At 44.7% G+C, this 23,640-nt stretch overlaps 1 protein-coding gene across 21 annotated transcripts in view, besides 2 other annotated features; it reads left to right on the forward strand.

Annotated features, from left to right (window-relative positions):
* The window catches only part of SYNDIG1 (synapse differentiation inducing 1), a 196,988-nt gene that overhangs the window by 124,281 nt on the left and 49,067 nt on the right, over positions 1-23,640 (forward strand). The window lies entirely within an intron of this gene.
* Positions 16,358-17,257: an enhancer, noted in NCBI's record as "OCT4-NANOG-H3K27ac-H3K4me1 hESC enhancer chr20:24590903-24591802 (GRCh37/hg19 assembly coordinates)". NCBI's record gives its function as "activates a minimal SCP1, AML or CMV promoter by ChIP-STARR-seq in naive H9 embryonic stem cells {active_cell/tissue: H9 hESC(naive)}" and the evidence as "EXISTENCE:reporter gene assay evidence [ECO:0000049][PMID:30033119]".
* Positions 22,066-22,883: an enhancer, noted in NCBI's record as "H3K4me1 hESC enhancer chr20:24596611-24597428 (GRCh37/hg19 assembly coordinates)". NCBI's record gives its function as "activates a minimal SCP1, AML or CMV promoter by ChIP-STARR-seq in naive H9 embryonic stem cells {active_cell/tissue: H9 hESC(naive)}" and the evidence as "EXISTENCE:reporter gene assay evidence [ECO:0000049][PMID:30033119]".

The following is a 23,640-nucleotide window of genomic DNA, read 5'->3' on the forward strand; positions in this document are numbered from 1 at the left end:
TCTTTATAGATTCTGGATATTAGACCTTTGTTGGATGAATAGTTTGCAAATATTTTCTCCCATTCTGTAGGTTGTTTGTTTATTCTGTGGAACATTTCTTTTGCTGTGCAGAAGCTCTTTAGTTTAATTGGTATGGTTTATCAATTTTTGGTTTTGTTTCTATTGTTTTTGATGTCTTCACTGTGAAATATTTGCCAAGTCTTATGTCCAGGATGGTATTTCCTAGGTTATCTTCCAGGGTTTTTATAATTGTACATTTCACATTTAAGTCTTTAATCCATCTTGAATTCATTCGTGTATACAGTGTGAGGAAGGGATACAGCTTCAACTTTCTGCATATGGCTAGCCAGACAGTTATCCTATCACCATTTATTGAATAGGGAGTTCTTCCTCCATTGCTTGTTTTGTCGACTTTGTCGAAGATCAGGTGTATGGTTTTATTTCTGGGTTCTCTATTCTGTTTCATTGGTCTATATGTCTGTTTTTGTACTAATACCATGCTGTTTTGGTTATTGTGGCCTTCTAACATGGTTTGAAGTCAGGTAACATGATGCCTCCAGCTTTATTCTTTCCACTTAGGATTGCCTTGGCTATTTGAGCTCTTTTGTGGTTCCATGTGAGTTATAAAATAATTTGTTTTCCGATTCTGTGAAAAATGTCATTGGTAATTTGATAGGAATGGCACTAGATCTGTAAGTGCTTTAGGCAGTATGGCCATTTTAACAATATCGATTCTTCCTATCCATGAGCAGGAAATATTTTTTCGGTTGATTGTGTCATCTCTGATTTCTTCGAGCAGCATTTTATAATTCTCATTGTAGAGATCTTTCACCTCCCTGTTAGCTGTATTACTAAGTATTTTATTCTATTCGTGGCTATTGTGAACGGAATTGCTTTCTTGAATCTTGGGTGTTGTTGGTGTATAGCAATGCTACTGATTTTTGCATGTTGATTTTGTATGTTAAAACTTTGCTGAAGTTATTTATCAGATCTAGGAGCTTTCGGGTAGAGACTATGGGTTTTTCTAAGTATAGAATCTTATTATCTGCCAACAGAGATAGTTTGACTTCTCTTTCTATTTGGATGCCTTTTATTTCTTTCTCTTGACTGATTGTTCTGGCTAGGACTTCCAGTACTTTGTTGAACAGGAGTGGTGAGAGTGGACATCCTTGTCTTATTCCATTTCTCAAGGGGGATGCTTCCAACTTTTGCCATTCAGTATGATATTGGCTTTGGGTTTGTGATAAATGGCTCTTATTATTTTGAGTGTGCTCCTTCAATGCCTAGTTTATTAATGGTTTTTAATATGAAAGGATGCTGAATTTTATCAAAAGCCTTTTCTGCATCTATTGAGATGATCTTATGGTTTTTGTTTTTATTTCTGTTTATGCACTGAATTGCATTTATTGGTTTGCATACGTTGAACCAACCTTGCATCCCAGGGATAAAACCTTCTTGATTGTGGTGGATTAGCTTTTTGATGTGCTTGTGGTTTTTGCTGAGAATTTTTACATCTATGTTTATTAAGTATATTGGCCTGAAGTTTTCTTTTTCTGTTAAGTCTTTGCCAGGTTTTGGTACCAGGATGATACTGACCTCATAGGATGTGTTAAGGAGGAGTCCCTCCTCCTCCACTTTTTTGTAATAGTTTCAGTAGGAATCGTACCAGCTCTTCTTTATGCATCTGGTGGAATTCGGCTGTGAAGCCATATAGTCCTTTCCAGTTGCTAAGCTTTCTATTTCTGATTCAGTTTTGGAACTCATTATTGGCCTTTTCAGGGGTTCAATTTCTTCCTGGTTCAACCTTGGGAGATTTTGTGTTTCCAGCAATGTATCCATTTCTTCTAGGTGTTATAGATGGTGTGCATAGAAGAGTTCGTGGTACTCTCTGAGAGTTTTTTTAATTTATGATTGTGTTTATTTGGACCTTCTCTCTTTTCTTCTTCATTAGTCTACCTAGTTGTCTATCAAGCTTATTTATTCTTTCAAAGAACAAACTTCTGGATTTGTTTATCTCTTGTATGGTTTTTCACTCCTCAGTTTTCTTCAGTTCACCTCTGATTCTGGTTACTTCTTGTCTTCTGCTAGCTTTGGGGTTGGTTTGCTCTTGTTTCTCTAGTTCTTCTACGTGTAATGTTAAGTTGTTAACTTGGGATCTTTCTAACTTTTTGATGTGGGCATTTAGCACCATAAGCTTCCCTCTTTGCACTGTTTTAGCTGTGTCCCAGAGATTCTGATATGTTGTATCTTTGTTCTCATTAGTTTCAAAGAATTCCTTGATTTCTGCCCTAATTTTATTGTTTACCCAAAAGTCATTCAGGAGCAGGTTGTTTAATTTCCATATAAGTGTATGGTTTTAAGTGATTTTCCTTGCATTGATTTTTTAAAAACAACTCATTTTTAATGTGTATTTATGTGTTTATTTTGCCAATTACTCATTCAAGAGATAATTAAATGTGAAATCTCTAAACCTTTTTTTTTTCTTTTGAGATGGAGTCTCACTCTGTCACCCAGGCTGTAGTGCAGTGGCATGGTCTCAGCTCACTGCAACCTCCATCTCCCGGGTTCAAGCAATTCTACTGCCTGAGCCTCCCAAGTAGCTGGGACTACAGGCTCCCACCATCATGCCTTGCTAATGTTTGTATTTTTAGTAGAGATAGAGTTTTGCCATGTTGCCTAGGCTAGCCTCGAACTCCTGACCTCAAGTGATCAGACCGCCTCGGCCTCCCAAACTGCTGGAATTACAGGCATGAGCCACCGGGCCTGGCCTCCAAACCTTTTCTTACACTCCTGACTCGTGGTGTTTTACCTACAAGTTGTTTCTCATCCTCACCCCACTTGGAGCCCTTCCCCTGCATTCAGAATTCTTCAGCAGTCAGTGCCGGGACATATAAGCTCTGCATCCTCAATCTCCCCCAGTCCCTTTCAGATCGATTCATTGGCCGTCGACTGGACACCTGCCACGTTCGCGTGTTTAGTCCCATTGGATTCAACGGATATCACTGGTCACACAGCATCCTCCTTACTCAGGCATTTGCAGCCTGTGTAGATGGTAAAGGGGGGCACACCCCTTGCTGGTGGGACGCAAAGAGGCTCTGAGTGCTGAGGAGGGGGGAGTGCAGTACCCTGGGTGTGCGGAAGGCCGTCTGACCCTGTCTTCCACTGGGAGTCCATGAACAGATTTCTCTCTGAATTCCCTCCTCCTTCCTTCCCCTCGTGTCCTTTTCCATGGTCCTCTTCCAGAACACATTTGGAAGAATTGTCCCAGTAGCTCTCCCCAGGAGACAGATAATGGATGTCCATTGTACATTTGTCTGCACATAAAAGTGCAGTTTGGGAGGGAAGAAATAGAGTGCAGAAAAGATTCTGGCTTTGTGTCATGGAAATGGCTGCGTGTACTTTCCCTTGTTCCTGCTATACTATTTCAGGACACAGTTTGTTTCCCCCTTGGCTGCCTTATCCCGTCTTGTGTCTTTTTTCCAAAGAGCTCAAGACATTAAAGACCACAGCATTTCTTCCACTTTTTTCGTTGTTCTGGAAGGGATGCTAAGGCTGGGAGGGGGCTGCATTTACACAGACTCACTGGGTGAGTCTGTGGTGGATCGGGGCTGGAATTCTGGTCACTGTGTTTCCTGGAGGCTCTGAGATCCCTAACATGACAGCTGTGTGATGCACTCAGTGTGGTAAGCGTTGGACAGAAATATCTGAGTCCATCAACTCAACTGGGCTCCCTAGAACACAGAACCTGCAGCAAGGTTAGAATTCCGAGGCCTTATTTAGAAGTGTGATTCCAGGCCAGCGAACACGGGGGAAATGGAAAGGAGGTGTGGAAGGAGGCAGGGCAACATCTGATATTTCTCCCTTTGGAAGCAAAAGCACCAACTGAGAGTCACCTCGGTGTGCAAGAATCAGAGCAGCACCTTAGCCCCTCCATAGCTTTGGTGCCTTCATCAGAAAGCATAGAAGACTGCCTTTCCTCCTAAGACTCAAGGAGGTCAAAACTGCAGCATAGAGGTGCATTCTGGTCCATACCACCTCACATCAAATGACAATTTGGGTTATATAATAAGCTGACATCAATCGTTTTTTCAGAGTGCAACCTGTGTTAGCCAAATTGGAACCCAGGTTAAAGAGGGTAATAACATTCTCACCAGGACAGCCTTGTTTTGAGTGCAGTAGGGGCCTGTTTGGGTGTCAGCAGCAAGCCTTCGCTGGCCACAGCTCCAGTTCTCTGTTGAGCCAAGAAATGCGCTGCTGCAGACGGGCACTGTGCAGGGTATGGAGTGGAGGGCTTGCCGCCATGCACTCACGAAACAAGAATGGCAGCAAGGGCAAAGTGCTTTAGACGCACAATTCCACCTAATTCCCACAGCAGCTCCATGAAATTAGTACTAGTATTATCACCATTTTACAGATGATAAATTTTATGAATTGGAATCCAGGTCTGTACAAATCAGGGTCTGTGCTGTTTTAAAAGCCTTCAGATATACCCAGAGCCACTGTTTCACAGAAAGTTTACAGTGAGTTTTATTTCATCTTCAAGAGAATCCTGAAATAGGAAAATTCTATTGTACCCAGCAAGTGAGGAAGTCAGCACCCAGCAAGGTTGTTTAAGCTATTCAGGATCACACAGCAGGTTGGCTACACGCCAGGACTGGGTGGGGCCCACAGTGGGTGAAACTGTGAGGAAATCCACAAGCACCTCTAGGTGCTCAGGATCGGCTCCTACAGATTCTAGTCCAATCTCATTCATGACCTCATTTGCTTTTCAGTTTAACAGTGCTTGGTTTTGGTTTACTATTTTTCCCATGGAAACATTTTTTAATTATGTCTTATCAGTTATTCTCCATTTATCCCAAAGGGTCAGTTTTGTGATTTTAAAATTGACACTATGTAGACCTTTATCTTTCATCATACGCAAAAATCAACTCACAATGAGTTTAAGACTTAAACATAAGACCAAAAACTATAAAACTACTAAAGAAAACCTAGGGAAATCGCTCCTAGATATTGGTCTAGGCGAAAGATTAATGGCTAGGACCTCAAAAGCACAGGCAACCAAAACAAAAATAGACAAGCAGGACTTAATTAAACAGAAAAGCTTCTGCACAGCAAAAGAAATATTCAACAGAGTAAAGAGACAACTTGCAGAGAGGAAGAAAATATTTGCAAACTAGACATCTCACAAGGGATTAATATCCAGAATATGCAGGAAATTCAAACAACAGGAAAAAAACCTACACATAATCCCATTAAAAAGTGGGCAAAGGATTTGTATAGATTTCTCAAAATAAGACAAACTGCTAACAGATGTATGAAAAAATGCTGAACACCACTAATCATCAGAAAAATGCAAATCAAAATCACAATGAGATATCATCATCTTATCCCAGTCAGAATGACTATTATTAAAAAGACAAAATAACAGATGTTGCTAAGTATGCAGAGAAATGGGAACTCTTATATACTGTTGGTGAGAATGCAAACTAGTACAACCATTATAGAAAACAGTATGGAGATTTCTCAAAAAATTAAAAATAGAATACCTTTGACCCAGCAATCCCACTACTGGGTATCTACCCAAAGAAAAAGGAATAATTATATCAAATAAATACCTACACCCTCATAGTTACTGAAGCATTGTTCACAATGGCAAAAATATGGAATCAACCGAAGTGCCAATCAGTGGACAAATGGATAAAGAAAATGTGGTATAGATACACAATGGAATACGATTTGGCCATAACAAAGAATGGAATAATGCCATTTTCAGCATCGTGGATGGAACTGGAGATTATTAAGTGAAATAAGCCAGGTACAAAAAGGCAAATACTACCTGCTCTCACTTATACACATGAGAGCTAAAAAGTCTGATCACATGGAGATAGAGAGTGGAAAGATAGATAACAGAGACTGGGAAGAGTGAGTAGTTGGGGGACGATGAAGAGTAGTGAGTTACAGGGTACAAATGTACAGTTAGATAGAGGGAATACATTCAACGGTTGATAACAGTGTAGGGTGACTATAGTTAAACAAAACTCTATTATATCCAGAAGATGGACACCTTAAATACCCTGACTTGATCACTACACATTATATACATCTAACACAATTTCAGAGGTATCTCATAAATTTGTACAAATTTTTAAAAAGTTATGCTACAGTATACAGTCATTTGTTGGAAGAATCAAGTAATTTCTTTCATATGTCTTCACAAAAAATATCGAGCTTTCCACATATGTGATATATTATTATACATTTTTGAAAGTTAGAAAAAAGGAAAAGAGACTGGAAGAAAATCACGCCATCTGTAGGCAATGGGTGGTTTTTCTCTTCCTTCCTGAATGAGTCTTTGTGTTTATTTATTTGTTTGTTTTAGCACCGTTAATGTGAAGGGGATTGTCAAACCTTTCCTAGTTTGAAAATAACAGTCAGAATAGAAACCTAAATGCATAGCTTAACAAATTATTTTAAAGCAAGTGGCCAAGTCACCATCACCCAGGTCAGGAATGTCCCTGGGACCCCCAGGGTAGAAGGACTAGCACCTTCCAGCCATCCTTCCTCCTTATCGCTGCCCTTCCTCCCCACCCAGTGACCACTGGAATGACCTCCACAGAACACACTTTTCTTGCACATTTTTATTATTTTACCACCTAAATTTGAGTTCCTTAACCTTCATGTCTTCATCTTTCTTTCTTTTTTTTTTTTTTTTTTGAGATGGAGTTTCACTCTTGTCACCTAGACCAGAGTGCAATGGTGCAATGGCGTGATCTCAGCTCACTGCAACCTCCACCTCCCAGGTTCAAGCAATTCTCGTGTCTCAGCCTCCTGAGTAGCTGGGATTACAGGTGCCCGCCACCACGCCTGGCTAATTTTTGTATTCTTAGTAAAGACGGAGTTTCACCATGTTGGCCAGGCTGGTCTTGAACTCCTGACCTCAGGCTATCTGCCTGCCTTGGCCTCCCAAAGTGCTGGGATTACAGGTATGAGCCACCATGCCCAGCCCATGTCTTCATCTTTCCTTACTGCACTTGCAAAGCCACATTGCATCTGAATGGCACTCTTATCTTGTATCAACGGAAAAATTTCCAACATTTCACTGTTAAGTAGGCTCTTTAGGTAACTCATTTTTAAATCATTAATGGCTGTTGGATTTACCGAAAGCTTTTTGTGCAAATGGAAAACAATTATATGAATATTTTCCTTTAATCTACTAATATAAATTACATTGACTGGTTTGAAATGTTAAACCAACCTTGCATTCCTAGAATAAACCCTAATTGATCATAATTTGTATATGTTGCTGAATTTGTGTGCTCTTTTGCTTAACATTTTTGTGTTTCTGTTTACGAGAGAGATTGATGTATATTATCCTTTGTGGTAATTTCTTCATTAAGTTTTGATATCAATGTTACTCTGGTTGTGAAGAGTTCCCTTTTTCTGTTCTCTGAACATTTATTTAAAACTGACCTATTTTTCAAATCTTTGATAGCAGTCATTGGTGGAGCTCTTTGAGCCTGGACTTCTCATCATAGGAAGATTTTAAATTAGTGATTTCCTTTCTTTAATATCGATATCTCTGATTAGGCTTTCTGTTGTTTCTCATATCGGTTATGGCAAGTTATATTTTTCTAGGATTTTGTCAGTTTCATCAAAATAATCAATTTTAATAATATTTTTAAAATATGAATTTGGGCCTTTAAGAACTAAAGAGAAGATTATCTTTTCTGGGGATGGATGGATAGACAGACAGAAAGAAATACTTCAAAATGACAATGTTATTGTTTTACATTGTTGATATTTATCTGTAGAAATCCCTAGATTCCACTACTTTGCTCCTCATTTCTTCCTAAATTTTTTAATCTTCCAGCTTGAATGATACCCTTCTGCCTAAAGAACATCCTTTAGAATTTCCTTTAGAGTGGCTTTTCTTGTGGTAAACACTCTCTGTTTTATGTTATTGGAAATGCCTTTTTATTACATTTATTCTTGCAGGTATGATCATTAGGTATAGAATTCTGGTCCACAGTTTCCTCTGTAGTTGTGTCTCAAATTCTGCCAAACCCATTATAATATTGTTTTTTTTTTTTATTTTCCAGTTCTAGAATTCCCATGTGTCTTCTTTTTCAGATCACCTACAACCCTTCTTGTATGTTTCAATCACCTGCCAACACTTCCAAGCTTTGTTTTATTTCCTGGAACATAGTAAGCAGAGGTATTTTATAGTCTATGCCTGATCATTATGATACCTGGGATCCCTGTGAGTCTGGGTGTTTGTTGTTTTTCCTTGTTCTCACTCATGGTATATTTTCTCAGATGTTACTGATTTTATGCTGGTCATTGTTTCTGACAAAGTATTCATAGTAATATTTTGAAGATGAAGATGATGCCACCTTTCTTCAGATAAGTTATTTCTTTGCTGTTTTTCCAGCACATACGGCACAAAAAATTCAAGACCATCTTAGTCCACACTCAAGCTCCGAGGTGAAGCAGAACTGGGCTGTAGCTCATGAGGGGCTGGTGTACTTTCATGTCACCTTTTCTCTCATGGCTTAGCTCTTTGGTGCTTCATCCTATGGCTGGTTTACAGGATCTCCCTCTTCACTGGGCTCTGAAATCCAACTTGGATTCCTATGATCTCACAAAGTAACCCAAAATTCACCCTCTCAGACACCTCTTATGGTCAGCAAACATCCCTAGGGAATATGTGTCCTCATATGCCTGGTCCACCCTTCTGAATTATTGTCCTCTCCCTGGCCTTGGCCTGATAATCCCTCATCTTCTTACCTCTTTAATGCTTTATAAAATATTTTCTTTAATGTTTCTTTAAGGATTTTTAGCTGTCTTCTGTAGAAGGGTTACCAGTCTGGCATTATTAGAAGCAGAAATCTATATTTCTGTTTCCTTAATTGTTTATACAGAGAATGTATTATTTTTATAACAGAAATATTTTTAACTACAAAATTGGAAGCTTGGTTGAAGGACCTAGATTATCTGTCACTTGAATTCTCATTTCTTCTGGTGCTAACTGAAATTCTAACTGGCTCTTTGCACTGCATGAGTAACCAACACAATGCTATCGAGGCTAATGAGGAGTGTCAGGACATGGGACGAAGGCCATACAGCTCACTCCAATGCAAATAAAGAAACAATCTTTATTTAAATGCTACAAAGAGCCACTGGGCATGGAATCTGCCACATTGTAGGTGCTCATTTAAATGCTGGTTGTGTTTGTATCTGATGCAAAGATGTGCACACCCGTGTTCTGCTTGGTCATTTCATAAAGATGAACCATGTGGTTTATAAATGCAGCATTACCAAAAAGTGTCCGGAGTTGGGAGAGATTGTTCGTGGCTAGGATCAAACCATGCTGCCAAATCCTCTGAGCACATGCCTTTGGCAGGGCTGTAGACAAGTGTCCCCAACCCATGGGGACTTCTGGGGAGAGCTTCATTCCTAGTGCTCCAAGCTCTGCCATTGAGCAGGGAGGTGAGGGCTGGAGGTGCCCATAGGTGAGAGCTGTTCACAAGAGGTGTTAATTCCCTGGTCTTTCTGGCTTGTTCCTGCACGGTAAGTGGAAACAATAATGACAGGCGTGCCCTGAGTGGGACACTGCCTCAGGGAGGAAGTAAATCGCAGGACTTCAGCTGTATGCAGCAGAAGGGAGACATGGACACACGCCTGGGATGGCAGCGGAGGGTCAGAAGCCCTGAGTGCAAAGCAGGGTCTGTCCACTAACAGGGCATTCTCAGCGAGGAAGCATTGCATTGAGAGTAGAGTAGACCATCAGGAGGAGTTGTCAGAAAGCAGCATATGGAAACGGTGTGTTCTGAAAACAACTCATCCTTAGCCCAGAAGAATTTTCTTCACAAGGAAATGAGCAGAGACATTCGTCAGGCACTGTGGGGTCACAGTGGATACCTGCTCCTGCAGACAAATGGGGAGAAGAATATCTGAAAGAATGCCAGGGGAGTTCATTCTCCTCCACTCAACTGCCCCCAACCAGGAGCACATTCACAGTCAACCTTTGCCTGACACAATAATTGAACTGGGACTTTCCCAAACATCTGAAACAAAATGCCCTGGGTTTCTCCGAAGCTGTCACCTGTCCATCTTTCTAATCATTTATCTTACCAAAACAAACAACATTTTCATGTTCTCTCTAAACCTTGTCACAAAGACAGACTTCTTTTGAAATTTGTATTATTCTTTCTTTTTTTTTCAAAGTTGTGTGCTTAGAACATGTACATTGTGTGGAACTGGAGCTCCACGGATTCCACACACTCGATGGTTTTGTTCATAATCATCCATAAGTGTGGGTGTCAGAGGCATTTGAACCAGAGTGACTCCATCTTGAACAGGGGCTGGTTAAGGTAACGCTGAGACCTGCTGGGCTGCATTCCCAGGTTAGGCATTCTAAGTCACAGGATGAGACAGGAGGTTGGCACCAGATACAGGTCATAAAGACCTTGCTGATAAATGGATGCAGTGAAGAAGCTGGCCAAAACCCACCAAAACCAAGATAGCGACAAAAGTGATCTCTGATCTTCCTCACTGCTCATTATATGCTAATTACATGCACCGCCATGCTAAAAGACACTCCCACCAGCGCCATGACAGTTTACAATGCCAAGGCAATGTCAGGAAGTTGCCCTATATGGTCCAAAAAGGGGAGGGACCCTCAGTTCTGGGAATTGCTCACTCTTTTCCCAGAAAAATCATGAAAAATCCGCCCTTTGTTTAGCAAATAATCAAGAAATAAGCATAAAAAGAGCCAACCAGCAGCCCTCCCTTGGGGCTGCTCTGCCTGTGGAGTAGCCGTTCTTTTATTCCTTTACTTTTTTAATAAACTTGCTTTCACTTTACTCTATGGACCCACCTCAAATTCTTTCTGGCATGAAGTCCAAGAACCCTCTCTTGAGGTCTGGATCGGGACTCCTTTCCGGTAACACTGGGATAATATTCCGTGCACCCCGCCAGATCCCACTTTTATCCTTAAGTTCATTATTTTTTAACGTCCTCAGATTTATAGTAAATTGAGTCCCATCTAATGAATGCATCTGTTAGGCTCTGGTAGATTCAGAATCAGCCCAAAACCCAAGTTTTCCCTTGAGAGTCACAGGGCATCCAAGGTCATGGGCAGGTAGTTGGGGGGCATCTGGGTAAAGACATGAAACCTGTGCTGGGGTCCAGGAGAAAGTCCTGGCAAAGGGCATCCCAACCAAGCAGGAGTGATGGAGCCACGCAGAAAGAAAATGCTACCCAGGGACAGATGGGTGGGAAGGGTTTGCCGTGGGCCCACATCTACCTCCCTGGGTGAGTGACATGTAAACGAAGGTTGCAATGAGGGCTACAAGAGCCCAGCTAGATACAAGCATAACATTGACTTTGCAGACAAATGCATTGAAAAACATTGCTAGAGGAACGGCTCCAATATTACTACATGGGTTTATTTTAACTTGTATCAGGGAAATGTGTGAGGGCAGTTAAATAGTCAAATGGTATCTCTCCTCTCTCTCTCTCCCTCCCCCAGTCTGTATCTCTGTCTCAATATGCATATTTAATATGCTGATTGTAGCTTCTGAGAGCTGTTTTGCAACTTCTGGATTTAAACAATTCCATATAAATATTAATGATCTGGTGCAGCCAAGACAAATCAGATTTCTTATGTATTTTTTTCCTCTGGAATCCATGCTGCAGTTAGTTACTGATTTTAACTTGTTCTAGTGTATAAATGAACAAATACATCATGTCTGCTTTGCTCCTTGCAGTGGATTGGATAGATTTTTTTTTCCACTGATAGGTGATACATTGTCTTGGTAATTAGCATCTTGATTTTGTGATTATTTGTCTGTAGCAGAGAAAACATGCATGTTGATTGTCCAAGGGCAGAGTCTGCAAAGCCTGTGACGTGTGGGACCCAGAGTTGACATAGCAATGCATTACATTACAAGCTGTGCACTCTTCCCTTTGGACTTAGGGCTCACCTCCAATTACATTTCCAACATGTGATCATTTTTCTTTAAATGATGTACCTGAAGCTTTTAGAATTTAGCATGCCTCCGACAGTAAAGCTGTCCACATGTTTCTTTTGCATCTCTTTTAAGATCGAGGACTTCTGTGCAGGTCCTACAGCACTATGGTTTTGTGTGGTGTCCCTCGGCTTCTGGTCACTATCTGTGGCCATTTCTGTGACTACCAGGCCAGCCTGGCCAGAGGCTGGGATGATCCAACAATGTGCTGGTTGATCACAGAGGCACTGGAGCATCATTGCAAGTGTCTCCAGAACAGGCATGTGGGCAGTCAGTGCTGGCCTCAGATGGCCTCAAGCCAAGTCTCAAAGCTCCACCTGTCAGGGGATGTGGCTATGAGGCTGTGGTTAGTGGGATGTCCCTGCCTCCTGAACAGCTGATGGTCAGGGGACTGACCCCTATTGCCATGAGCGACAACTCATGAACAATTTTCTCTGGGAAACTATTTCACTGAATTCTAATAGATATCTAGCAGATAATTACCCCAGATTTCACTTTGTCCCCAAATCTTAGGTTCTGTTGACCTCATGCTAAATCAAAAGCAGGAATTGCACTTTAAGGTAAAACCTTAGGTTATTATAGAATTGAATATTATATTATTGAGAAAGTTATTATAAAAAGAGAACAAATCTGAATTAGAAATGTCCATCTGGATGCTACTTTGAATAGATTTAGGAAACTTACTGTAGCCCAGTTAATCCTTACGGTATGGGTTTTCTGGAAGTAGAGATCCGGAGTTTAGATTCTGTGCTACAGGTGGGCAGAGCGCAGCACAAGTGCCCATCCCTGGGGTTATGTAGGGGAGCATACAGGATCAGTGGGGGCCAGGCTGCCAAGCAAGAAGATTGGAGTCAGCAGAAGGCTGTGTGCTCCTGTATTCGTCAGAATGATTACCCCTGGATGCTGACTTGGAAAGTGGATGCTGACGAGCAGAAGAAGCAGTGTTTGGAGGATGATTCTGGGATCTTCATTTTGAAGCTGCCCTGGGCAGTTGAGGCAGTACTGTCAATAGGGAGTTTGAAATAAGGAGTTTGCAAGAATCATGTGTTATATGAACGGACCTCTTTCTTTCCACTCATTTGGCCTTTGTTTGCCATTGATGACCTGGTGAAAGTTCTTTTTGAAAACTCCACCTTGGCCGGGCACCATGGCTCATGCCTATAATCCCAGCACTTTGGGAGGCTGAGGCAGTTGGATCACCTGAGGTCAGGAGTTCGAGACCAGCCTGGCCAACATGGCAAAAACCCATCTCTACTAAAAATATAAAAATTAGCTGGGTGTGGTGGCGTGCATCTGTAATCCCAGCTACTAGTGGAGGCTGAAGCAGGAGCATTGCTTGAACCCAGGAGGCGGATGTTGCAATAAGCCAAGATCACACCACTGCACTGCAGCCTGAGCAACAGAGCAAGACTCCGTCTCAAAAAAAAAAAAAAAAAAGAATAAAGAAAAGAAAGAAAACTCCACCTCGTTCGGGCTGATGAGAGTCCCAGTTGGGCACCCTGGTTCTGGCCAAAGGGCCGTCCTCAATGCCTGATTCACCCGGGCTGCTGGGGTGGAGAGTGGGGCTAGGAAGAGCCTCGGCCCATGACGAATGTTCACCCCTCCTGCTGCCTGGCTGTGACTTTTTCTCCTCAAGAGCGAGACATCTCCATGGGCCACATTCACAGTGGAGACGGCCTCGGGCTCCCCCTCTCCCTGCTTCAAGGGCCGAAATTCACAGGCAGCTGTGGGGACAGGGAAGCCCAACTGCTCTCTCACTAGCACACTGGGACTTGAGTTGGCCACAGTTGGAGAACCTTCTATCAATTACTTTCTTCCGTTTTTGTAGACTTTTTAGGTGTACTCCATTTGACGAAAACCTAATGATCTTTTAAAACTCCCAATATTTACAGTGGGTAAGTCAAGGGCAGTTATGTGTATCTCAGATACCCGAAGGTAACGTTAATGCATTAACATAATGTCCTGCAATTTACTTCAAGTATATTTAAAATACAGGTTTATACAGAAATCTATTTTAAACACTTTTCCCGGATGAGATCCTCTTATGAAACAAGATGTCAGAGCACATTCAAAACATCTTCGGCAGCTAAACCCTCTAGTCTCCAGTGCTGAATTTTAGTGTTTCCTTCCAGTTGTATACCTAATAAAAGATATTTTAATTATAAAGATATGATCTATCAATGCTTTCTAGAGTATAAACCCATGACAAATAATACAGAAATTATTTTAAATTTTGGCAATATTATCTCCTATTTTTTTTTTTTGAGACAGTCTCGCTCTGTCACCCAGTCTGGAGTGCAGTAGCGCAATCTCAGCTCACTCCGCCTCCCGGGTTCTAGCGATTCTCCTGCCTCAGCCTCCCAAGTAGCTGGGACTACAGGCACCTGCCATCATGCCCAGCTAATTTTAGTACTTTTAGTAGAGACAGGGTTTCATCATGTTGGCCAGGCTGTTCTCAAACTCCTGACCTCAGGTGATCTGCCCACCTCAGCCTCCCAAAGTGCTGGGATTACAAGCGTGAGTCACCGCGCCCCACCAATAAAATCTTAACAGTGACAATCCATCACCCGCCAACTGACCTGCTTCAAGTGACAGCACCGCAAGGCCCCCGTGTCCAGACCTCTGTACATAGGAACATGAAACCTGTGTACTTAACAAGATGCTTGGGAGGAATACACAGGATATTATGTACGCTGATCTCACGGATGAGACAATAATTAAAAGGTGACTGAAACTACCTTTCCTGTTGGTAAGCAAAAGCTTTCAGCCACAAATAAGGCAACAAGTACCTCTCAGACCGCCCGATGGCCGTCAGTAAGGATGGGGCTGAGAAGTAGTGTAGATGGAGAGAATCATGTGAATGATATTGATAATATAAGCTCAGTTCTCTTGACCAACCCTTGCATTCTAGAATTAAAGCTAAGATTAGATGATGTTCAGAAAAACAGCATACAGTACTGCTTTGTGTGGAGGACAGTAATTTTGTGTGTCTGGACTCACATGTATGTTGGTGCAAGCCAAACCTACAGATTTAAATGAGGGGTGACAAATGAGTCATGGGTTGATCAGCACATTATAGATTCTCATGGGAATCCAGGGCTATTTTACGTACGTCTCAGTGTCATGGGTGTTTTAAAGGTGCTCATCACATTACCATCTGCACTTCTGCTGTAGAAAAATGTCATAGCAAGAGGACAGGAGCCATGCTTCACTACTCTGGAGGTGGCAGTTCTCGGCAATGTCCCCCTTTTCTTGCCTCTTTGCTTAGCTTAGCATTTTCTGGTGCTTAGGGAGTTATAAGAATCCCAGACAGAGAGCATAGCAAATGCCAAATTTAGAGCTGAAAAAATTACCTTGAGGTTGTGCTTTGACGTGGAAGGCGGATGTGGGATGCTCTTTGCTTTTCTTTTTCTGTCCTTCCTTTTAGACGGGGCACTCTTTATTTTTAACCTGTCTAGACTGTGTATAAAGTAGTAAAGGGTCACTGAAGCACAGTTGCAGCATTCACTTGTATCAGTCCATATGTACGTCCCTGGAAGCTTTGCATTGTGGCAGCACTCAAGCACACACAGGAGCAGAGGATGATGAGTCCCTGGACTCAGCTGGGAGCTGGAAGGGATGGATGCCTCAGTGAATTCGGAAATAAATGATGATGCAACAGGACTGCAGATTGCTCAGGGGATTTGGAAATAGCAAAACAGACGGGCAGAGAGAGGTGCCTTTGAGAGCTGGCCCTGCACTAGAGTATAGGAAACTGGAAGGATGAGTTTATAACCAAAGTCACTAGCACAACTGTGATTCTCCAGAAGCTCCATGGTTTGGGGCCACCTTAACATTCATATCTCAGCTCACTGTGCAAGGCCCAACCTCCATCTGGACAGTATCACCCCTCAAGAGCCCACTCCACCCAACCTGAGCTTGTGTTTTCCAGACATGCCTGCACCCCAAGGCTTCCCCATTACCCCCATTCTGCCATTATCCTCCTTGCCACTTCCCTATGTTCCCAGGCCCATCCCACGTGCAACACTGCTCACCACCACCACATGGGGCCTCTGGTCATCCCTTTTTGGTCAAAAGGAAAAGTACAGGAGCTTCCAGGCCATCCTGGAAAGGTTTTCAGGCATAGAAAACACGAAGAGCAGGTGGGCAATACTTTGTGGTGCTGCCAGGAATCCTAAATACAGGTGAAAACATGGAAATTGCAATTCTCACCCAGCTAATTTTAGACTGACACTGGTGGGTGGAGAGACGGGGTATCTTGAGGCTCTCCAAGCTCAGTTTTAAAATGATTCTCTGCATTCCTGTGATAATTTTGAATAATTTGGGCCTGGTCTTTATAGGCATATAAAATGCTTTGCATTCCTTTGGGAATGTCATACTGAGTGTGAAAACCAAAAGGGATATTGTAAGTGGTCATTCTTCATTCCAGAGCCACCTGTGTCCACGCAACGATTCCGGATCACCCGCCGTGGGCACTCGGAAGCATGTTTATGCATGTAGCTCTGCACACGGGGGGGCGAGTGCTAATCAGCCAGAATGAATGTACTATCCCCATCTCTGATTCCACAGCAGGGTTCCTGAGTCACACACACCACACACAAAAGAAGCTCAGATTTATGCATTGCCTGATTGTTCTGGTCCTTAAGCTGAGTTTTAGGTAATTGGAAAGGTATCTTGCAAGTAACACTCTCAGCAGGACACAATTTATTATGCATGAAAGTTGAATCGTGAGAAAGGGAGTTGCCCCAAGTTGGCTGATGAGCTGATGAGTCTGGAGGGAGGCAGAGCCCTTCACGAAGCCATCTGACCTTCTCCCTGCCTGGACCAGGCACTGTGTATTTGCCCAGATGCATGTAAGTGTTCTTTGCTTGGTGCTGCCCAGGAAGACGGAGATGGATCCACAGGAGGAAGCCAGGCCACTCTCGGCACCTTTGCCTTGTCAAGAAGGGCTGGGTCTTCTTTGAGGACTTTGCCCTGCTGCAATGACAGGAAATGAGTTGAACTGGCATCTTATTTCCTTAGTCAGAGGGGCATCTTCTGTCTTCGGCCAGCTCCCAGGCACAATTCCTGGCAGATTCTCTCAAATCTGCTCCCCTAGCTGAACCACGCGATGCTCAGGATATTGCCTCTGAGTGTTCGCCTTATTTCTGCTGCTGGAACTACTGTTTGCCCACATCCAGGCTCCAAACCACGGCCCACGGCTCCCTCCCCTAGCCCCACCACATTCTCCAGGTTGTGAATCCCAAACATTCTCTCTCTATGAAGGCTCCTGGCCTCTCCATTCCTCTTTGCTGTCCCTTTGCTCTACTCTGGTTCTCATGACCTGCCTCTTTTTGGAACCGTTAGACTATTCTTCCAGCTCACGACCTTGTTTTCATACCTCCCTTTTCTCTTGTGTCAGCCAAAGTCCCCAAGTTAATGCTCCTAAGGCAGTAAGCTGGTACCTGTCCCCAGCGAAGACTTCAGCGGTTCCTGATTCTCTGCAGAGCTCACTCAGAGCACCTTTGCTGGAGGCTGGTGGCCCTTGCAACTCAGCTTAGGGCTCTACTTCCAGCACCCCCTCCCACCCATAGCTGGACCATCCTCCCCACGGGGTCTCGGGAGGGTCACACCCTCCCCCTCCCACTCTCTCCTGTCTTCTGTACTCTGGTATGCCCTTGCCACCCCCACCTTTCATGGCCTCTCCTCCCATGCCACCCCTCCAGGAGCCCCTCCTCAGCCTCTGCCTGGAGGCCTTCTACCCACAAGCTTCCACTTCTTCCACAGGAAATGGGCCAGGAGCCTCTCCCAGGCCCTTCCTTATGCAGCATGGCTCTGCTGTTCAGTTTTAGCCCATGGTGCTGATCTCCTTTGAGCATTCTAAGCTCAAGAATCATAGGGAATCTGGCCAGAGCCCTCTTGTTGTTACTGTCAGATGTGATCCCTGAGAATGGGATAATCCTGTAATTCAGGTGTTCTAAAATAAAATACAGGGAACACCAAACCCTGCACTGCTTCCTGTAATTGCATGTCTTAATGAGAGTGTTCCTGACATATCCAGTTCCATTGCATAGCTGTGCTGACAGGGACACAGCCACTTAATGGCAAGAGCAAGAAAAATATTGTCCCAGAGAATATCACATAGTTTATGTATCAAGTTCTCTAAGGTTCTGCGTGATTAGAGGCAAACAATTCAACCTGCCACCATTGTGTGCTGTTCATGAGAAAGGCTGATTCTTTCTACAAATTCTTCATTAATTCTCATCACCACTTAGGAGCACGGACGCCTCCCAAGACTTTTCTTTTCTCCAAATAATTCCTCTTTTTTATTTAGATAGGAACAGTGTGACCCTAGCTGAAGGGGCTGGGAAGATGTCTTTAATTTTTGGACAGGGCTTAACCCTTTGGTACCAGGACAGACATCAGGTGCCCCCGAGTCCTGAGTCTACTTGGGAATATTGTGATGGTCCCTGTTGACATAAACATCCTTGTGCCTTTGTCTTAAAGCAGGAGAAGAAAGCAGTCTGCACTATTATTCATGACGTGGCATCCCAAGCCGTAAGACTAAAGAATGGCTTTGGCAACAGGACTTAAAACTGATCTTGGCACAACCTTTCATTAACCTGCAAAAGATTAATTTTATTTCCCAGTAACTTAACAGAATTCAAAAGCTAGGAGAAAAGGCTTAAAGGAAAGTCAACCTTAGATATGTTTCTAAATATATCTTAACTCAGAAATATTCCCCCTCAGTCCTAGCATAGAATTATAATAGCTCTTCATCTTCAAAAAGTGTGCATGAAGGGTTCCAGCTCTTAGTGGTCCATAAACAAATGGTTGCAGGAGTCAAGAACTCAGGGTCGGAGAGGCTCCTGGATCTAGAAACATCACTGCCAGTCACTCAGGGGCAGGGACAAACCCCAGAGAGGGTCTACCTTAGCAACAGGACACATCCTGTGTGCCCATCTCAACCACAGGCCATCACATGCTGAGCGCTTCCATGTGCCAGGCACCATGTTGAGTGCTTCATGAGTTCCATCACATGTGTGCCTCCACAACACTGATGAGATGGGAAGGAATGCTTTATGGATGAGGAGACTGCGTCTCTGGGAGATGGCACCGTGGGATGGGGTGAAGGCAGGGTGTCAGAGCAGATCCTCCCAATGCTTGGCTAAACTGCCCACCTGTAAGGCAACCTAGAAGATACCAGACCTCCCTGTTGCTCAGATAAAGGGTCTGGGTGCTTGGGGTTGGAAGTTTGGAAAGCATCCTGGTGACGGCCATTCCCAGCTATGTGACCCTGGCCAACTTACTCCCTGTCCCAGGGCCTCTGAGATAAGACAGGATGTGGTGAGGCTGCCAGCTGCTGTGTGTGCTGTATGGGAGCAAGCAAGCCTACTCTGCAAATCAGAGAGAAAGCACCATCCGCACCTGGACAGCCGCTCTCTGTCCTGCCGTCTCCCTGAACAGAGCTGCATGCCCAGATTTGGTGCAGTCTCCTTGCTGGCCTCACAATCAGCTTTCCATGACACAGACCTGCCCATGGACCCCAGCATGGAACCAGGACTGGGCGAGGACTTGCCCTCAACCCACCCGTTGTGCCTAGCTAGACCCCAAGCCTCCTGTGTCCCCCATTGCGGGTCCCAAAGCCACCCGCACCCCCTGCCTTGGCACCTCCACACAGAGGCTCTCCCTTCATGCTTGCCCTCCTGACCGTGTGCCAGGAACCCCTGCTCAGCCCACACAGAGCCAGCTCCTGCGGCATCTCCCAGAGCCCTTCTAGACTGACGGCCGCGCCCCTGCAGCTCTTCTCCTGCTACAGTGGGGACTTCAGGGAACATTCCCAGCTTAAATCATGACACCCAAAGGACAAGGGCATAAATGGCATAAATGGGATTTGGAGCCTGAATTTTCTTAGTGTCTAGAGACAGAAGAGGATGGTAATCTAGGGCTTTGCGGGGAAGCGTGAATGGAGAGGCCATGCTGCCTCCCAGGTAGGGGAGAGAGGCTGTTACCAGTGCTGGGTGAGGCAGACCATGGAGAGCACTCTGATCGCCAGCGGGGTTGGGCATCACTCTCAGATCTTTTGTTCTTTTTGACAGTATCTCTCTCTGTTGCCCAGGTTGGAGTGCAATGGCACTATCACGGCTCATAGCAGCCTTGCCCTATGGGGCTCAATTGATCCTCCTGCCTCAGCCTCCCAAGTAGCTGGGACTATAGGCACACACCACCATGCCCACCACACCTGGCTAATTTTTAAATTTTTTGTAGAGATGCGGTCTCACTATGTTGCTCAGGCTGGTCTTGAACTCTTGGGCTTAAATGATCCTCCCACCTCAGCCTCCCAAATTGCTGGGATTACAGGCATGAGCCACTGCACCCAGCCTCACTCTGAGATATTAATGTGCATGATTAGACTTTTTAGTATTCATGTAATTTGTGGCTTGGTAAGGGAATACAATAAATATACTTTTTTGTTTGTTTGTTTGACTGGTTGTTGTAAAGAGTGAAGTAGGGAGGCAACAACCAAGGGAACTGGCTCATCAGAGCACTTTCCCCAAACCTCCCGTTCTTCAGTGAAAACAGAATCTGAGGGGAACTAACCTAAAGTTGCTAATTTAAGACTCTGGAGTGATCACAGCAATATATTAAATTAGATCTTAGAAACTGAGACTAGGAAAATCAAAAGAAGGAAGGAAGGGAGGGAGGGAGGGAAGGGGAGGGGAGGGGAAAGGAGGGAGGGAGTCATATGGGAGGAATGAGCTAACCCTCCACACAGATCCTTTTTGGAAGTTGTCAGGGTATAAATAAAACACAAATACTATTAAAGTGCTAATTATTGACAAATTGTTGTCAAGCAGAAGTCCTGCTTCGCCTATTTAAATGCCTAGGCTATACTTAAAATGTTTATATGCATAAATTAATGTAATTGGTGAATGGAGTATGAAATGAACAGAACTTAACAATACCTTATAGTTTGGACCAGGTGCAGGGAAACATTCTCAAACATCTGACTTGTCAAATATTTTAAAGCAGCGTTATTGCTTTCAAGCAATTCTGTTACCTTGCAATTAACAAGCTTATGTTTCAAAGGAGTTCTTTCAGTGGCCTACTTTAATAAGTGAAAGCTAACATTTGAAATTAACAGCCAATTTGTACATGTTTGTTGAAATTCTTAAGGACATTAGTATCTTAAGTAGGTTAGGCAGCTTCCTTGCTAATGTTTGAACATCGATGTAATTGGTCCACACAGCATTTTGTCCACCCTAATAGCCTGCCTCTCCTGTGTGACAGTCTTCTAACGATCCTCACATTCCAACACCCATGTGAAATGAAATGGGCCCAGGGAGGGGTGTTACTCCAATGTTGCAGGAAACCGGGATTCTGAGATTCAGAGAACCCCACCATCCACCTGAAATCCCTAAGGGGGTGATGAGCGAGACCTGGGTTCAGCCTGGGTCTTCCAACCCCAGGTTCTACGCTCTTACAGCTCCTCTAGCACCCATCCAGAACCAAGCTCCTGACCCAGCAAGAGAGGCCACCTCTCTCTAACTGCCAGGCCCCTCTGTGAAGACTGTAGGGCTTTGCGGGAGCCTGGGAGCACAAGGAACCCATGCTGCACCCACTTCATCCTCCCCATGGACCCGGGGCCAGGCAGGCTTTTTTGGTGTCCAGAACTCACCCGGGTTCCTCCCCAAGTGGCCTCTTCTCACAGGCACATTTTCAGAGGGGACACACACAGGTCCTCAGTTTATCCCCACACTGCTGTCCCCGAAACAGGCGCCCAATGGAAGGTCTGCACGGTCTTTCATCTTCCACCTCCTCCTCTCAGCATGCTGCTGCCCGAAGTTCTTAATGTCCTCCTGCAGCTCAGAGAACATGGGATTCTTCCCTCTCCCCTCCCCGCCCCACCTCCCCCACCCGCCCCTCTCTGTAGAGGAAGGACCCCTAAGAGGTCCAGGGAAATCATTTAGCACATCCACGAGCCTGGGTGGAAAATTAGTTACATCATTATTTTTATCAACCTCTACCTGAAATTTAGCACTTCCTCCAATTAGGAGTGTAAGCAACACACGGCAGAGTTTGTTGTGACTTTGCACCAGGAGAAACCACAGATGTCTTCACATCACATAACAGCTGTTGATGGTATTTTAAAATATTGTTTATGCTCATCACTACTTTAAAAATGCAAACCCAAATGTTAGTTATTATTTAGTGTCTTAAAGTAGCCCATATATTTCTATATTGATTATGATTTTTAATGTTTCCAAAGCTCTATTTCAATATATTTGGTTCCTCTTTTAAGCCTCTGTATTTTATTGTATACATTTAAGAACACTATTCCGAGACAGGGGCTGTGGCTCTAAGAAGGTGAGGTTCCCCACCTGGCATTGTGACATGTTGTCCATCTGGCCGGCACCTCCTTCCCACCCAGCTCAAGGCCTTTCACCAAGGCCTTTCCAGGGGCTCGCGCCCCTCCTCCACCTGCATCCTCCCAGCTCTGCCTTTGGGGATTTTAATTTGAAGGAAATAAGCTCCCATTCCAGACAGGGCCGAGGTTGGCTGGGCCAACCTGCCTCCCCTCTGGCAGTGAAAGGCCTGCCCTCTGCACTCTCAGCCACCTCAGGGCCCAGGTTTCTGGGTTCAGCAGAAGGAAGCACAGGAGCTGATTTGCGGGGAGCAGCAGCAGCTCCCAGGAGAAGGCGCAAGGAGGCCCCTGCAAGGCGGAGCAGAAAGGAGCAGGTGCAGGGGGTGAGGCAGCTGGACAGGGCTGAGGCAGCTGGATGAGGCTTCAGCCTTCACACCTGGAGAGCAACTGGCTGAGCTTGGAGGAGAGAAAATCACCTGCTAGCTTCGCTGTTTGCTGCTGCTGTGATGCCCGGCTGCTCCTCATAAGGTATGCACTTCCCAACCCTTCACTGAGCTACTGTCGCCAGGCAGGGTGCCGGCACTGGGGACACTGCACAGAGCAGGACCAAGGCGCCATCCTTGTAGGGTTTGAAATACCAGGCCACGTAGCAGAGCCCCGGTGGCTGCTGACCTTCAGGGTGTGGGCCAAGGAGGTGGCTTCGGTGGCTTCTGGAGGTATCTGCCCGCTTCCACAGCCCTCTGCGGCACCCGTGCACTCTCAGGCCTCTCCCTCTTCCTGTAGCTGCTTAAGTCACTCAGGAGGTTTACATAACAGACAGAAAATTTACCCGGTGTGATAGGTGGGCCGAGAAGAGGTGGCCGCCTGGGTGCTGTCCCCAGGGTTCTCCTGCAGCACGGGGCCTGCACCCCATCGCATGACTCTGCAAGGGGCTGCTCACCCTCCAGCCGTCCCCACCGAACCTCCGTGCTCCTGGCCCGCATCCTTCCTCTCCCTCACCTCCTAAACTCGGTCACCGACTCTGCCCCATCAGGACACCCTCCTCTCTGCTGCCCTGTCACCTCCGCACCCAGCTGACTGAGGGACAAAAGGGGACATGGCACTGCTCTGAACCCAGGAAAGCTGGGAATGGACTTGCGTGCCTTCCTCACAGTCACAGCTGCATCCTTTGGAGATGCAGCAGCAATGCCTGTGAGACAAGACCTTTAATGAGCTTCTAGACACTGCCCTCCGGGTGCTCCTGAGAACTCGACTTTGTCAGAG

Source organism: Homo sapiens, chromosome 20 (genome assembly GCF_000001405.40).
Source record: "Homo sapiens chromosome 20, GRCh38.p14 Primary Assembly".
NCBI lineage: Eukaryota > Metazoa > Chordata > Mammalia > Primates > Hominidae > Homo > Homo sapiens.